Source organism: Homo sapiens, chromosome 5, assembly GCF_000001405.40.
Source record: "Homo sapiens chromosome 5, GRCh38.p14 Primary Assembly".
Classification (NCBI taxonomy): Eukaryota; Metazoa; Chordata; class Mammalia; order Primates; family Hominidae; genus Homo; species Homo sapiens.
The window spans coordinates 13,988,165-14,005,182 of NC_000005.10; the positions used below are offsets into that span (position 1 = coordinate 13,988,165).

Here is a 17,018-nt window from a genome sequence, read left to right on the forward strand (position 1 = left end):
GAAAATTCAAGCAGTAGAAAATCGTAGTATCATAGATAAAATAAAAGTGGAATGAATGTAAATCGTAGAGAGTTGTTTAAGTTGCCCATCACTATACAAACTTTGATGCCACTGTCCCTTTGGTCTCCCATTCTGGAGAGGGAGGCATTTGTATCACAGGATGTTTGAGGAGGGCTGTGGCTCTGTTGTACTTTAATTGGAAGGAATTGTGCTTGCTGTTTACAGGAGGTGTTATGAAAACCAAAACACCAATTTTTTTTTTTTTTTCTTTGAGACAGAGTCTGGCTCGGGTACCCAGGCTGGAGTGCAGTGGCATGATCTCAGCTCACTGCAACCTCTGCCTCCAGGGTTCAAGTGATTCTCCTGCCTCAGCCTCCAGAGTAGCTGGGATTACAGGTGTGCACCACCATGCTTGGTTAATTTTTATATTTTTAGTACAGATGGGGTTTCACCATATTGGCCAGGCTGGTCTCAAACTCCTGACCTCAAGTGATCCACCTGCCTCGCTCAGCCTCCCAAAGTGCTGGGATTACAGGCATGAGCCACTGCACCCAGCCCAAATCTTTTTTTTTTTTGAGACAGAGTCTTACTCTGTCACCTGGGTTGGAGTGCAGTGGTGTGGTGCGATCTCACCTCACTGCAACCTCTGCCTCCCGGGTTCAAGTGATTCTCCTGCCTCAGCCTCCCAAGTAGCTGGGATTACAGGTGCCTGCCACTATGCCCAGCTAATTTTTTGTATTTTTAGTAGAGACGGGGTTTCACCATGTTGGCCAGGCCTGGTCTCAAACTCCTGACCTTGTGATTCGCCCACCTCGACCTCCCAAAATGCTGGGATTACAGGTGTAAGCCACCGCACCTGGCCCAAAAAGTCTTTTAGAACAGCATTTCTGAAATGCAGCCCGGGGAGAGATGGAGGGTGTGTGGTAAGCAGGGTCACTGGAGATCCAAGAAAAGCAGAAAGAGCCGTGTAGTGGGGAATGGGTTGCTTGCAGAATGGAAGTGAAGTGTAGGGATATTGTGATAACAACAGTGGGTGGAACTATTTCTTTCTAATGATTCATGTGAGGAAATATTCTACAAGAAAAAGTGCAGCTTCACAATAAGAAATCCATAAAATCATTTACTGGAGTGCTATACAATGAAATTCTATGCAGCCATAAAAATGGTTTTGAAGAAGCATTTTAATTAAGTCGAAAGACATTTATGATATGTTGTAAAATGAAAAAAAAAATCCGGTCCCAAAAAAGTATGATCCAATTTTGTAAAAAATAAATTTTTGTAATAAATAAATAACGTGTGCATACATGTAGAGGGAGACTTTTTTTTTTTTTTTTTTTGAGACGGAGTCTCACTCTGTCGCCCAGGCTGGAGTGCAGTGGCGCGATCTCGGCTCACTGCAAGCTCTGCCTCCCGGGTTCACGCCGTTCTCCTGCCTCAGCCTCCGGAGTAGCTGGGACTACAGGCGCCCGCCATCACACCCGGCTAATTTTTTATATTTTTAGTAGAGACGGGGTTTCACCGTATTAGCCAGGATGATCTCGATCTCCTGACCTCGTAATCCAGCCACCTCGGCCTCCCAAAGTGCTCGGATTACAGTCATGAGCCACCACACCCAGCCGAGGGAGACTATTAATAGTGATTAATATTTCTGAGACTTAGAGGTAGGTTTCCAGATTTTTTTAATGTTCTTTTTCCTTGGTTTACTTGTCTTATTTTCAGTCACTAGCATTACTCTATACCAGGCCCTGTTCTAAGCACTTCATAAATACTGACTCACTTAATGTTCACAACAGGGCTGCGAAGTAGGTACTATTACCATCCCCATTTTTATAGATTAAAACATTGAAGCACAGAGAGGTTAAGTGACCTACTCAAGGTCACACAGCTAATGAGTGGTGGAGCCGATTCAGACCCAGGAAGTCCAGCTCCAGCTTCTGTGCACTTAAATAATAAAACATGAGAAAAAGTAAATTAAAAGCATAAAGAAAAAGCAAGGAAGGAAGGATGGAAGGAAAGAAGAGAGGGGGCAGGGATGGGGATAGGGAAGAGACTCACAAGAGAACAACACACAGTTGTTCTAAAAACTTTAAAAAATTGGGGCCCGGCGGCCAGGCACGGTGGCTCATGCCTGTAATCCCAGCACTTTGGGAGGCCGAGGCGGGTGGTTCACGAGGTCAGGAGATAGAGACCATCCTGGCTAACATGGTGAAACCCTGTCTCTTCCAAACACACGAAAAAATTAGCTGGGCGTGGTGGCGGGCGCCTATAGTCCCAGCTACTCGGGAGGCTGAGGCGGAAGAATGGCGTGAACCCGGGAGGCAGAGCTTGCAGCAAGCCGAGATCGCACCACTGCACTCCAGCCTGGGCGACAGAGCGAGACTCCATCTCAAAAAACAAAATGAAGTAAAATAAAAAAATTGGGGCCAGGCGTGGTGGCTCATTCCTATAATCCCAACACTTTGGGAGGCCAAGGCGGGCGGATTGCTTGAGGTCAAGAGTTCGAGACCAGCCTGGCCAACATGGGGAAACCCCATCTCTACTAAAAACACAAAATTAGCCAGGCATGGTGGCGCGTGGCTGTAATCCCAGCTACTTGGGAGGCTGAGGCAAGAGAATCACTTGAACCTGGGAGGCAGAGATTGCAGTGAGCCAAGATTGCACCATTGCACTCCAGCCTGGGCAAAAAGAGTGAAACTCCATCACAAAAAAAGAAGGAAAAGAAAAAGTGTAACCAGAAAAAAGATAACATTGAAATATTTAACCCTAAATAAATTAACTGCACAGAGCCAGAAACATGCAAATAACACCTTTTAAATAAGAGGCAGTTTGAGTTTTTTTCTAAAATCCCTCCTGCGGGCTGCTTCCCCTCTCAGAGCACAGTAGGTGTCGGGGGCTGGATTGACTTCTTGCCAGTTGCAAGTCTTGACTTTGTCTCTCTAGAGCATGCCCCAACCTGACTGGCATGAAAGCTCTAATTTTTCTTTTTAACTAGGTAAAAGAAAACCACATTGTGAAAAGAGGGAAAGGGAAAATGCCTAAGCTAAGAGCAAAGCAAACCTTAAATGTTAGTCTGCACTATTTAAAAACTTTGTCTCCTTCAAGACCAGAGAGCTGAAAGGGAACAAATGAAGTCCATTGAGGTCTACGGCAAAAAAGAAAACAGTTCAGGTGGACTAAGATGGCTGCCCTGCTTAGTACTGGGTTGAGAAAGAAGATATGGGCTGAATCGTTCCCTTTGGACTAAATGCCTGCTTGTCAGACAGACCCAGACCCAAGGAGCCAAGGGTAGGGATTAGGGGGAAGAAAGGAAGGAAAAGTGGAAGGAGGAGGAGGAACAGAAGGAGAAGGAGGAAGAGGAGGGGAGGAGGGGAGGGGAGGGGGAGGAGGAAGAGGAGGAGGAGGAAGAGGAGAAAGAGGAGGAGGAGGGGGAAGAGGAGGAGGAAGGGGAGAGGGAGATTGTATACAAGGATGAGGAAGGAGTCAGGAGGAAAGAGGAGTCATGGAGAAACGAGGGAGGCGTGAAGACAGAACAGAGGTGTGAGGGGGAGCCCTTCATTTTCTTATGACTGAGGTTTACATGTTGAGAAAGGGGATACAAATATATCTTGAAAACCCATGTAGCCTAAAAACGGGAAGAGAACTATTTCTTTTTCTCTGTCCCTCAGCACAGACTTTAGGCAAAAATCTCCATCTGCGAAAGAGATAAATGTGTCTACCCCTTAAAAACAGGGTCAGGATTAAATTCTGTAAAGAACTTTGAGTGTCATCTCTAACAAGCATGAAGCAAATCCTCCAGTACACGAAGCAGAATGAACGGACTTTTAAACAGTAATCTTCAGATAAATAAAACTGGTACTAGACAAGAGATGAAGACAAACACCCAAAGAGCTGCAAAGTAGCTTCACAAACTCACAGGGAATGAATCAAGGTTCCTTTTGCCCATTTGGCTTACAGTTTCCATTGAACAAGTATATTTTAAATAGTCAAGGATTAGATTGTCTTAAAATAATATTATTCATGTCACTGCAAATGCCAAGTCTTGTTCTTCAAAATCTCACTCTTCTGCCTCAATTGACTGATTCTTCCATCTCCTCCACAAGCATCCTAATCCCACCAAGGCCTCAAACCCCAACAAAAAAACCACCATCGCCCCAGATCACTCACAAAATCCCACAAATCACATTTAAGAAATTCAGAAACAGATAGACATAAGAATGAGAAGGAAGGAAAGCCCATGAGCTCTCTTTTCAGAATTTTTGTATCACTTTCTTGTAAAGGTCATTTGTACCTAATTTTGCTTTGACCAAAATGGATGCAAATTTTAACCTGATTTCTTTGCACTTCCTAATTTACTAGTGATGTGCTAGGCCCTGTTTTATTTCACTTTGGTGCCAGTGGCCTAAAAACCTGACTTTAAAAGTCTAGTTTTCAGAAACTCCACTGCAAGAATACATTTTCATATCCAGGGGATTCCCTTGTAATGGAGTTGTACTTACATAACATATTTAATGAACAACTATCGAGTGATCGGTATTCCACTCTCCTCTAATGTCATTATTTCCCAATACTAAAAGGAGATCAAAAAGGTAAAAATACATTATTGGCCATTTTTAAATCTTTATAATAAGATTTAAGTTATTAGTTCACTGGGTGTATATTTCCATACAGTTACCAAGACATAATTAAAAGTCCCAAGGTGAAGCTTAATCAGCCTCTCCCCTCTTAAACCAATCATCACTACAGAGACTGCTAGGCAGTGACCCAGTTACTTCTTCAGATGCCTTAATTAGTCCCAGAAACACCAAAGCTCTTTTTTGAGAAGTGGAAATCTATTTCTGTTATTCATTAACACCCTTAAAGCATATTCTGCGGCTATTAGACATAAGCCAATGAAAGGGCAATGGAAAGTCATAGACACAGAGCATGATTAACATCCTCAATGAAGAGGCAATGGGTGTCCACTTTTTTCCTTAGCGATGCCCGTCTACGCATGCTTAGCTTTCCAATGGAGAATGCAGAATTCTAACATAGATAAAATTAGGATCCAAAGTCATTATGAAGTTAATGAACAAATGTAATCATGATGCAGATGCTCAACACATTCAGAAAGGAGTTAAATACTCTGAGTTTTTATCACTGTCTCTAAATTTTCTCTTTAAGCAGGTGGAACATATTTTAAAGATAAATGGAGTGGCTGGGAGGGATTCTCATTTTTAAGGTTCTAGGTCTAAGCAAGCCTGAGAAAAGGGGACCCAATACCCAAAGATTCTGAGATTAATTTTACCAGCTAACAAAAAAACTCATATATTCTACCCCACTGTACTATTACAAATATCACAAAATATAGATTACATAGAATTTAGTCATGAAAAGATCATACGGTTAATATGTAAGTGTAATTGCCCTATATGCTCAGCATTGACTTAGACATAATCGTAAGTATTTCCTTAAGAGCTTAAGGGCATAAATAACGTGAATCTTATATCCCGTCTTCCAAAAAAGCTTCACATGCATGAGCACAGCTATAAAAAGAGACTGGCTTCGTGGGTGGTTGTGGAATCAGCTTGCCTAATGTACAGACGTGCCCCACGCAATGATAAAGCCAGAAATTGGTTGTAATGTGCTGGCTTCTTGAGATTAATCTGACCCAAACACACAGTCCCCACCCTCCCCAAGACTTCAGCAGATCCCAGACGGCTAAGGGTGCAAGATCACCTCCAGCTGTGACCTTCCTCTGAGGGAACCAGGTATATAATGCAACCCATTGCTCAAATTCCACGAAGTGATAAAGTGGCTTGTGAAGACAGCAGACCTCCTCAGAGGTCGGAAGGAGGAAGGCAATTTCCAGGTGAGCCTCAGGCATGCCTGCTGTCAGGCCGTCCTCTGCTCACCTCTGACCCGGGGGATCTTCCCATGACTCCTGCCCCGCACGCATCCCAGCCTCCGCCTACAGGCTTCCCACTGCACTTCCTCCCGCACGCCTCCACCTCTCTGCCTCTCAGCCACCCACCGGCTGGCCCTAAGATGGTGGCACTGCTATAAATCATTCTCCATGCTCACTCTGCCTTTGACCCCAGGTCTTATCTCCTAACTCTCCTGACCTAACCAGAGTTCCCCGAGCCCCCAACAAGCAAAGACAACTTCCTCCCCAAAAAGGAATTTTGCCGCTGAGATCATGAATTATTTACACTGACCTAGAAGAGTACGATCATCATTCTGTAAAGGCCAATGGTAGATAAATTCAAGAAACATAGACCTTAAAAATTACTACTGTAAGCAACTTACAGTCTTACCATGCAAAATAACCTGACCATGAAGAACAAAGAGTAGAATCCTGTTATAAAATGACTTATTACGCATTTCTGATATGAAAAGATACCTAAACCCTGACACAACTACTTACACTCAAAGCCTGACCTGACACAGAAAATAAGGTTATCTCATTCTTCAGTAGTATTGCTAGAAAGGAGTCACACCATAGGTCAAATAGTCTCTTCTGCTCATAAGCTTAAACGGAAGGGGAACCCACAAGCTGGTTGGAGATGAATGACCTCAATTTGAGAGCTCTTCACCCGCCTCTTCCCCTTGGCTCTGAGCACAGATGCTCAGATTGCTGCTCACCTAATTTGTCTACTGCCATTACCGCATTTGCCTATAAAATTTCTTCTGCCTGCGTGGCTAGCTGTTCGCCTGCTTAGGTTCACTGGGAACAGCTGCTTGTGTTCATTGCCACAATCCGTCTCCAGCAGCATTCATCCATCACACATGAGTTTCAGCAAACAAGAATCCACGCAAGCCAGAAGACCCGTTCCAGGAGTTCAGGGTGGCAAGCTTGTCACAGACAGGACCTGGGGTGGCTGGTAGAGGCCAATTTGAGACTACACACCACATTGACCCTTCCCATGCATTTCATGCCATAATAATCACATGTGTTTTTGTGCTGAGTCAGTTTTCGTTTCTCATTTCATCTGTGTAGGTTTTTCAGCAGTGCTTGGCAAGCTTGTCTTTCCAATGAGGAGGCTGAGAACTAATGCCCTATTTTCAGTTTCTTCTTAAGTCTCCCACATTGCCACATACAGTGCACCACATATACAGTAGCGGGCAATTACAGACAATGCCCTGATGTCCAAACCCCCAAAGTCAGCCCTCAGGATAATTGTGACAAAAGCAAAGTTAATCTTTAGCTCTTTTCTTCCATCCTTGTATCCTCTTTCTCCCTCCTGCTTCCCTCCTTCCATTGCACGAGCTTCCATGTCACCAGGGTAGCAACTGACTTAGGCCTACATGGACTGCATCTCGATTTAGTGGGGCCTGAGGCTTATGCAAACTGAAGGGTCCATATTAAGAAAGAGAATTAGAAAATTATGAACACAAAGCCAGGTATTAAACTGAATATTTACTTAGAAACAAAAAATAAAATATAACAAATTACAACTTTTTTTAAACTGACAACACAAAATCCAGGTTAAAAAAAAAGTAGCAAAATGTTTTAATTAACTTCCTGAAAGACTTCCATATCAAATATACAGATGATATGGACAGATAATACATATAGATGATATAGATATATAGGTGTGTTTTTGGCCACAAACTTTTTGACCCTCTCTTTATTCAACAACTTGGTAATATTTTCCAGAGTGAATACAAAAATAATTTAGTCCTTCCTTCAGCAGAGTTGACTGGAACTTGACTTTTATAATGGAGAGATGGAATGCAAAAAACACACAGCTTCACAGAGAGATGCATGGCTCTTTGCAGTACAGTTTACAGATTTGTACCCTACAAACACAGGAATTCTGATAAAGCCTACTATACAGAATTCCTACCATAAAGGAAGAAAGGTATGGTGTGTTTACAACTGTATCACTGCATTATCAGAAATAGCCTTGACGGTAGAAAATTTCCAGTTTTGGTTGACGAGATTCCAATTGGCCACTCTGGGCACCTCTGATGATTAAAGGTGTTTCCCATACAATGGCTTTCTGGCTTTCTGGCTTTCTGGCTCATGCAGTTCAAAACTATTCTCTCCTCCACAGGGTAGTTTCGCTTCCATGCCCCACCTCCTAATACTATTATTGCACTGGGCATCACATTTCAACAAGAATTTTGGAGGGACACAACACTTAAACCACAGCATTCTCCCGCCACCCCCGACCCCGAATTCATGTCTTTCTCACATACAGAATACATTCATTCCATCCCAATAGTCCCAAAAAACTCTTAACTGGTTCCAGCTTCCACTTTAAAGTCTAAGTCCCAAGTCTCATACCAATAGCATCTAAATCAGATGTGGGTGATATTCAAGGTATGATTCATGTGAACCTATGAAATCAAGGAAGTTATGTGCTTCCAAAATATAATTTTGGGACAGACATAGGATAGACATCCCCCCTCCAAAAAGGAGTAATAGGAAAGAAGAAAGAAGTGACAGGACCTGACCAAGTCCAAAGTTCAACAGGGCAAACAACATTAAACCTTAAGGCTGACTCCATCTCCCACCTTCTGGTCACTCTGGGGCAGACGTTAGACCCCCAAGGTTCTGGACAGCCTGGCCCCATGGCTTTGCTGGGCACAGCCCACGGGGCAGCTCTCACGGTTGGAGTCTTGTGCCTGCAGCCCTCTTAGGCTGGGGTTGCACACTGATGGCTCTATAATTCTGGGATCTCAGGGGCAGCCCCAATCCCACAACTTCACTAGGCATTGCCCTAGTATAGGCTGCCTGTGGTGGTCCCAACCCCACCGTTCTGCCAGGCATTACCTACTGGGGACTCTCTGTGGTGGTCCTGCCCCTGCAGCAGTTCTCTGCCCAGACTCCAACACTCTCCAGGGCATCCTTTGAAATCTAGGTGGAGACAGCCATTCCCCCACAGCTCATGCACTCTGGGTGCCTGCAGAGTTAGCATCATGAGGATACCACCAAGCTTTACCACTTTTTCTTTTGGAGGGGTGGCCCTAGTAGAGCCACATCCATGGTGTTCTCTCCTGAACATGTTTTCTCATTTTTTACAGGCTAAGAATTTTCCAACTTTTTAGGTTCTGCTTCCCTTTTGATTATAAATTCCATTTTTAATTTATTTCTCTCTTTTCATATTTTATTATAAGAGTCAAGAGAAGCCACAACACATCCTCAACATTTGGCTTAGAGGTTTCTTCCACTAAATATTCTGCCTTCCACAAAACACTATGACACAAAAACAATTCAGCCAAATTCTTTGTCACTTTATAATAAGGATGGCCTTTCCTCCAGTTTCCAATAACATATTCCTCATTTCCATCTGAGACCTCATCAAATGACCTTTACTATTCATATGTCTACCAACATTCTGCAGTCAAATCTCTACCCCTGAGCTATACCCCCTCTACCAACATTCTGATCACAACCACTTAAGCAATCTCTAAAAAGATACAGGCTTTCTCTACAGCTCTCCTCTTCTACACCCTCACCAGAATTATCCTTTATTTCCATTCATGGCAATGCAGACTTTTTCTAGCCTGCTCCTCCAAACTCTTCCAGCCTCTGCCCATTTCCCTGTTCTAAAGCTGCTTCCACATTTTCAGGTATTTGTTACAGCAGCACCCCACTTCTGGTACCAATTTCTGTCTTAGTTCATTTGGGCTGCTGTAACAAAATACCTTAGATTGGATAATTTATAAATAATAAAAATATATTTCTCACAATTCTATTTTTTTTTTTTTTGAGACAGAGTCTCATTCTGTCACCCAGGTTGGAGTGCCATGGCGTGATCTCGGCTCACTGCAACCTCCACCTCCCAGGTTCAAGCAATTCTCCTGCCTCAGCCTCCCATGTAGCTGGGACTACAGGCATGTACCACCACGCCCAGCTAATTTTTGTATCTTTAGTAGAGATGGGGTTTCATCATGTTGGCCAGGCTGGTCTTGAACTCCTGACCTCAGGTGATCCATCTGCCTCAGCCTCCCAAAGTGCTGGGATTACAGGCGTGAGCCACCATGCCTGGCCTATTTCTCACAATTCTAGAGGCTGTAAAGTCCAAGATCAAGATGCTGGCAGGTTCAGTGTCTGGCGAGGGCTCACTCTCTGTTCCATCCATGGCACCTTGTTGCTGCACCTCACATAGTGGAAGGGCTGATGGGACTAACAGACTTCCTTAAGCCCTTTATAAGGACATTACTCCCATTTACAAGAGCAGAGCCTTCACGACCTAATAACTTCTTAAAGGCCCCACGTCTTAATACTATTGCAGTGAGGATTAAGTTTCAACATGAATTTGGGAGGGACACAGACATTCAAACAACAGAACTTTACTTTTGCAGATTTTACAAAAACACATGCGCATTGAACACATTGCTTGGCCCTTCCCACGTAAGTGAAGGGCTCTGAAAGCCAAGCTTCAATAGCTCCAGTGTAAACCCAACTCTAGGCTACCTATTCTGAGTTGGGAAAGTGAATAACTTTTATTAAGTACTTTATCTCACCTTGTATTTTACATTTACTGACTCAATTTATTCTAAACATTATCTTATGAGGAAAGTAACAGTTCCATTTTACAAATGAAAATGCCTAGCATATTCTTTCTGAGAGGATGACAAAAAATAGTCCAAAAAACTCTTGAAATGATTGTTTCTAGTGAGGGAGCTAGTGGGCAGGGCTGGGATAAATACATGTTTTGAATTGCACACACATTCATATTGCTTGAGAATTTCTTTTCTTTTTTCCCCATGGCCATTGATTACTTCTTTTTTCTTGAAACGGGGTCTCACTCTGTTACCCAGGCTGGAGTGCAGTGGCTCAATCTCAGCTCACTGCAACCTCCGCCTCCCAGGTTCAAGCAATTCTCCTGCCTCAGCCTCCCGAGTACCTGGGACTACAGGCATGCGCCACCATGCCCAGCTAATTTTTGTACTTTTAGTAGAGACGGGGTTTAGTAATGTTGGCCAGACTGGTCTCAAGCTCCTGACCTTAAGTGATCTGCCCGCCTTGGCCTCCCAAGGTGCTGGGATTACAGGCGTGAGCCACGATGACCGGCCTGCCATTAATTACTTTTTAAAATTTTATTTTACTGTAGTAAGAACATTTAACATGAGATCTACCCTTTCAACAAATTTTCAAGTATACATTATTGCTAACTATAGGTACAACATTGTACAACAGATCTCTAGGGCTTACTCATCCTGTTTAACTGAAACTGCATGCCTCTTAATTAACAATTCCCCACTTTCTGCTCCCCCAGCCTCCTGGCCACCACCATTCCACTCTTTGCATCTATGAATTTGAGTATTTTAGATACCTCATCTAAGTGGAATCATGCGTTAGTTGTCTGTGACTGGCTTATTTTACTTAACATAACCTCTTCAAGGTTGTTGCATATTACAGAATTTCCTTCATTTTAAAACTGAATAGTATTCCACTGTATGTATACAGCACACTTCCTTTATCCATTCATCTGTTGATGGACATTTAGGCTGTTTCCACATCTCAGCTATTGTAAATACTGCTGCAATAAACACGAGAACACTGCTATCTCTTTGGGATCCTGATTTCAGTTCTTTTGGATAAATATCCAGAAATGAGGGGTGCCTGGATCATCTGGTAGTGGTATTTGTTAATTTTTTAAGAACCTCCATACTGTCTTTGGTAGCAACTGCAGCATTCTGCATTTCTACCAACAGCATGCAAGGGCTCCAGGATTTCCCCATCTTTCCAACACTTGCCCTTTGTTGTTGCTGCTGTTTTATGATAGCCATCTTGACAGGTGTGCGGTAACACCTCATTGAGGGTTTGACTTTTACATTAAAAAACAATTTATCATGTGTTTTAAAGGAAAAAAGAATTCACACTAACAGAGAAATTACTGATAATAGGTTCATGCATCATAATACTGTTACGGGTTGAACTGTGTCCCATCACAATATATTTGGAAACCCCAACCACCCCCAAAGTACTTCAAGGTGTAGCCTTCTTTGGAAATAGGGTCTTTGCAGATTTAACCAAGTTAAGATGAGGTCACTAGGGTGGGCTCTATCCAATCTGACTGGCGTCCTTCTGAAAAGAGGGAAGTTGGACAGAGACAAGCACAGAGGAAAGGCAATGTGAGGACACGGGGAGGACACAGCCGTGTGACTGGAGTGATGCAGCTAGGAGCAAAGGAACACCTGGGGCCGCCAGGAGCTGGGAGCAAGGCCCGGAAAAAGCCTTCGGAGTGAGCACGGCCCTTGCCAACACCTGGATTTCAGCTCCCAGCCTCCAAACTGTGAGAGAGTAAGTTTCTGTTGCTCTATGCCACCCAGTTTGTGATAATTTAGTGCTGCGGCCCTAGAAAATGAATATGTTTCTCTCATGATAGTTATATGATGAGCATTTTTTTAATGTTTGTTGGCTGCTTGTATGCCTTCTTTTGAGAAGTGCCTGTTCATGTCCTCTGCCCACATTTTAATGGAGTTACTTGTGAAATACCATCTCATACCCATCAGAATGGCTTTTGTTAAAAAGCCAAAAAAAAAAAATGGATGCTGGCAAGGCTGCGGGGAAAAGGGAATGCTTATTAGAATGGGAATGTAAATTAGGCCAGCCACTGTGGAAAGTAGCCTCGTGATTTCTCAAAGAACTAAGAAGTTAACTATCGTTCAACCCAGCAATCCCGTTACTGAGTACATACCCAAAGGAAAATACATCATTCTACCAAAAAGACACATGCACTGGTATGTTCATTGCAGCACGGATTCACAATAGCAAAGACATGGAATCAACCCAGGTGCCCATCAGTGGTGAAATGGATAAAGAAAATATGGTGCATACACTCCATGGAATACTACATAGCCATTAAAAAGAATGAAATCCGTCCTTTGCAGCAACATGGATACAGCTGGAGGCCATTATCCTAAGCAAACTAACACAGAACAGAAAACCAAATATTGCATGTTCTCACTTATAAGTAAGAGTTAAACACTGGGTACACATGAACGTAGAGATGGGAACAACAGACATGGAGGACTACTCGAGGGGAGAGAGAAGGAGAGGACAAGTGCTGAAAAACTATTTATTGGGTAATATGCTCAGTACCTGGGTGAAGGATTCATTCACACTCCAAGCCTCAGTATCACACAATATACCTCTGTGACAAACCTGCACCTATCCCCTAATTCTAAAATAAAAGTTGGAAAAAAAGAAAAGTAATGCAATTTTCTTCCCTTGAGATACTTAGTGATTTTTTGTTTTTTTTGTTGTTGTTGTTGAGACAGAGTCAGAGTCTCACTCTGTCGTCCAGACTGGAGTGCAGTGGTGTGATCTCGGCTCACTGCCAACTCCGCCTCCTGGGTTCATGCCATTCTCCTGCCTCAGCCTCCTGAGTAGCTGGGACTACAGGCGCCCGCCACCACACCCAGCTAATTTTTTATATTTTTAGTAGAGACAGGGTTTCACTGTGTTAGCCAGAATGGTCTCAATCTCCTGACCTCATGATCTGCCCGCCTCAGCCTCCCAAAGTGCTGGGATTACAGGCATGAGCCACTGTGCCCAGCCTAGTTTTTTTCTTTTCTTTTTTTTTTTTTAAGGATACTTTATAACTGAAAGGGATGACTTTAGTTTGGTAAAATTTGAAGCAAAAGAGAAGCTGAGGCACCAATCATACCCTATACAGACAGCTAAGCACATTGTGTAAGGCAGATGTTGCCCACCACTCAGCCCATTAGAGAGCTCATGCACCATCAAACCCAGAATAAAGCAATAAGCCCAATGGTGATCCAACCCTTTGCTGGTGTTAATTTGTTTTTTTTTTAGACAGCGTCTTGCTCTGTCGCCAGGTGGGAGTGCAGTGGTACAATCTCAGCTCACTGCAACCTCCACCTCCCAAGTTCAAGTGATTATCCTGCCGCAGCCTCCTGAGTAGCTGGGACTACAGGCGCGCACCACCATACCCAGCTAATTTTTGTATTTTTAGTAGAGGTGGGGTTTCACCATGTTAGCCAGGATGGTCTCAATCTCCTGACCTCGTGATCCGCCTGCATCGGCCTCCCAAAGTGCTGGGATTACAGGTTTGAGCCACCATGCCAGGCCATGAATTTTAATATCTTTGGCTATTCATATAATACTGAAAAAAATCAGTTAGAAAAAACAATTCAGATGCATAGTTCTAATGAAGTGCATATGTGTATCTTTTCATGGGTGCACATCTGAAGAGATCATTATGTTTGGGGAGTTTTTCTGGCTATCTGATGTTTTTATGTTTTTTTCTAAGGTTAAAAATTAAACACATAAATGTACTTTTAAAGTTGACAATATCAAAAAATTGGAAAAATTTTGAGGCTGAGTTTACATAATTCTAAAACCGGATCAACTTGACTAAATTTAGTAACTTCAACGAGAAAAAAAAATGAAGTTTATTTATTTGGTTTGTCTGGCAAAACAATATGTGTTTAAATAGTATTCTGTAAACAATGTTTAATCATCAAGATATTACCATTATAAACATAGATCCATATTTTCAAAATACACAGATACATACACACACAGTAGCTTAAAAAAACTACAAGTATTTTTGTTTAGCAGATCAAAAGTTCCCACTAATGCTAGAAATTTGCAGTGTCTAACAGAAGAATTTGAGTTTACTTTTTTAAAAAGATTTTCCTTACTTTAATTAATTTTAGGGTCTACTTCTTGATATAATCTTTCAAATGTACTTACTTTTTATTAATAAATATATATATTTATGTTTGTTCAGAAAAGCCACTTTGGCAGAAATCAAAGAACAACCACAAGTTGTGCTTATAAGAACAAAATCATTTTAAAGAACAAAACACAACTACGATAGTAATTGAAAACTGAGCAATAGATGTCTTTTTTGATAAACAAAAGAATGTACAACTTAAAGTTCCAGTTGATACAGCCCCTGGATGCTTTGAAGCAAAAAGGTTCTGTTTTTAATGACTAGCATTTTTATAGCATTTCTGATAGTCACCTAATAATAGAAATACATCATTCTCATTGTCCTTTTTCATTTTGTCTTAATAGCAGTAAATTAATCTAACTGATCTATTTCTATAAATTATATTCTTGCTATTAACTATAAATCTGAAGAAGAAAACATCAGAGTTACATATAAAATTCTTAAAAATGTTTCCACTTGATAATAAATATTCCCTTACCAAAAAAGTTTGGGCCTGGGAGAATTTCATTTCTTGTTTTTTGATAGTGAAGAAAATGGATGTGCATTTTTCATCCTATATTGATTTGAATAATAGAGATTCACTTATAATGTGAGCAGTACTTTGCCTTCTTTGGTAGGTAAGATCTAATGGCAAATTAAAAGCCACTTAAGAGATTACCTTTAGCCCTGGTCAGAAAGAAGGCAAATTAGTCCTTCCTCCCTCTCACCTCTCTGTCATACTCCATTCATGACTTCTGAGGCAGACAGTGGTTCCAAAGATGGCCACAAAAACATCCCATCCCACATGCTCATCCTTCAGTGTGAGCTTGACATTCTTCCCATTGAGAGGTGGGGTCTCCACTTCTCAATGCAGAGTGGAGGAGAGACTGTCACTGCTTTGACAAATAGATTACAGTGGAAGTGACGTCCAAGGCTGGGTCATAAAAGTGATGCGGCCAAGCCTTGCTCTCTGGAATACTCTCTCTTTGAAGCTTTCAGCCACCATGAAAGCAGCCCACTGCCCTGAGGCCACCCTGCTGGGAGCAGGCCCAAAGTGACCCATGTGAAGACACCACATGGAGCTGTCTGAGATTACACAAAGAGAGAGAGGTGCTGGATCAGCCCCAGCTATTCCAGCCTCCCAAGCCCCATAGGAGAGACCCCCATGCCAGAACCACCCAACTCATCCCTTCCCCAGTTTCCTGACCTATGGAAATCGGAAGAGAAAATACAATGATTGTTGCTATTTCAAGTCACTAACTTTGGGAGTAATCTGCTGTGCAGCAATGACATCAAGAACAAGCTCCAACTTTCTGGAACTTCCTCTTTCACTTGAAAAGAAATGCTTCGAATATTGCTGCTTCGTGTCTGTTTAAGTATCTTTTATTGTGAAACAGGGCCACCAAATCTAGGTCAAGAGTCCCCCTGGCCCAGCTGTTCCTTATCTGAAAGAGAAAAAGAGAGGAGAACCCTGTGAAATATCAGGCCACATGGAGAGCAAAGGGAGAGATCAGTTACAGCCACCTTTCTCTGATGAGCTGCGGGCTAGCTAATTAAAGGCTTTTGCTGCCTATACCAGAGAGGGGAAAGAAGGTAAAAGGCCTGAGTACCAAACAACAGAGTTGTTTTGAAATCCAAGTAATGTGGAGTCAGAAAGGCCCAGGAGTTAAAGAACAAGGAGTCCTTTTCTATTCCCTTTTTCCTATTAATAATGCACCTTGCATTGCAAAAGTTATCAATACCCAATGGCAGCAGCACACTGTGGTGCAAAGATCTGGGTTTCATCACTGCACTTACAAGCTGTTTGACTTTGGGCAAGCCACCTAACTTCTTTGAGCCTCTGCATTTTCATCATTGAAATGAAACCACCACACTTACTCTGTGAGGTGAAAGGAAACTGCACATGTATGTAGCATGCATAGCACAGAGCAGGCCTTCAGAAATTATGACTACTTTTCCATCTTTCTTTTCTAGTATTGGTTATGCTGCTCATTAGCTGTGTGACTTTAGGCAACTGACTTAACCTCTCTGAGCTTTGGTTTAAACTGTGAAATGATGGGTTGATCTCAATAGCCTCTCAATCTCCTTTATTATTTTCTTCCTTAGATTTCTGCGATCACCTCCTAACTTGTCTCTCCTTCTCTTGGCCCATCGTGTCCCAAACCATCCCACGCATGCTTCCAGAGCCACCTTGGTACTCAGCAAGGCAGCTCATATTTCAAGGATAAGTCCCAAAACTCAGCACACGAGCCTCTTCATGGTGGGACTTGAAAGTCCCTCTGCAGCCTCAGCCTCAACATCCTTCTATCACTCTCCCCTGCCCCAGCTGCACCAAACCACTCAGTCCCCCACCAGTGGCAAGCCCTCTATTCCTTTGCCAGCCTCCTCCCCTTTGCC

General features: G+C 42.6%; 1 protein-coding gene across 9 annotated transcripts in view; it reads right to left on the bottom strand.

Annotated features, from left to right (window-relative positions):
* DNAH5 (dynein axonemal heavy chain 5) overlaps positions 1–17,018 on the bottom strand; it is a 321,491-nt gene that overhangs the window by 297,837 nt on the left and 6,636 nt on the right. The gene's annotated exons all lie outside the window — the stretch shown is intronic.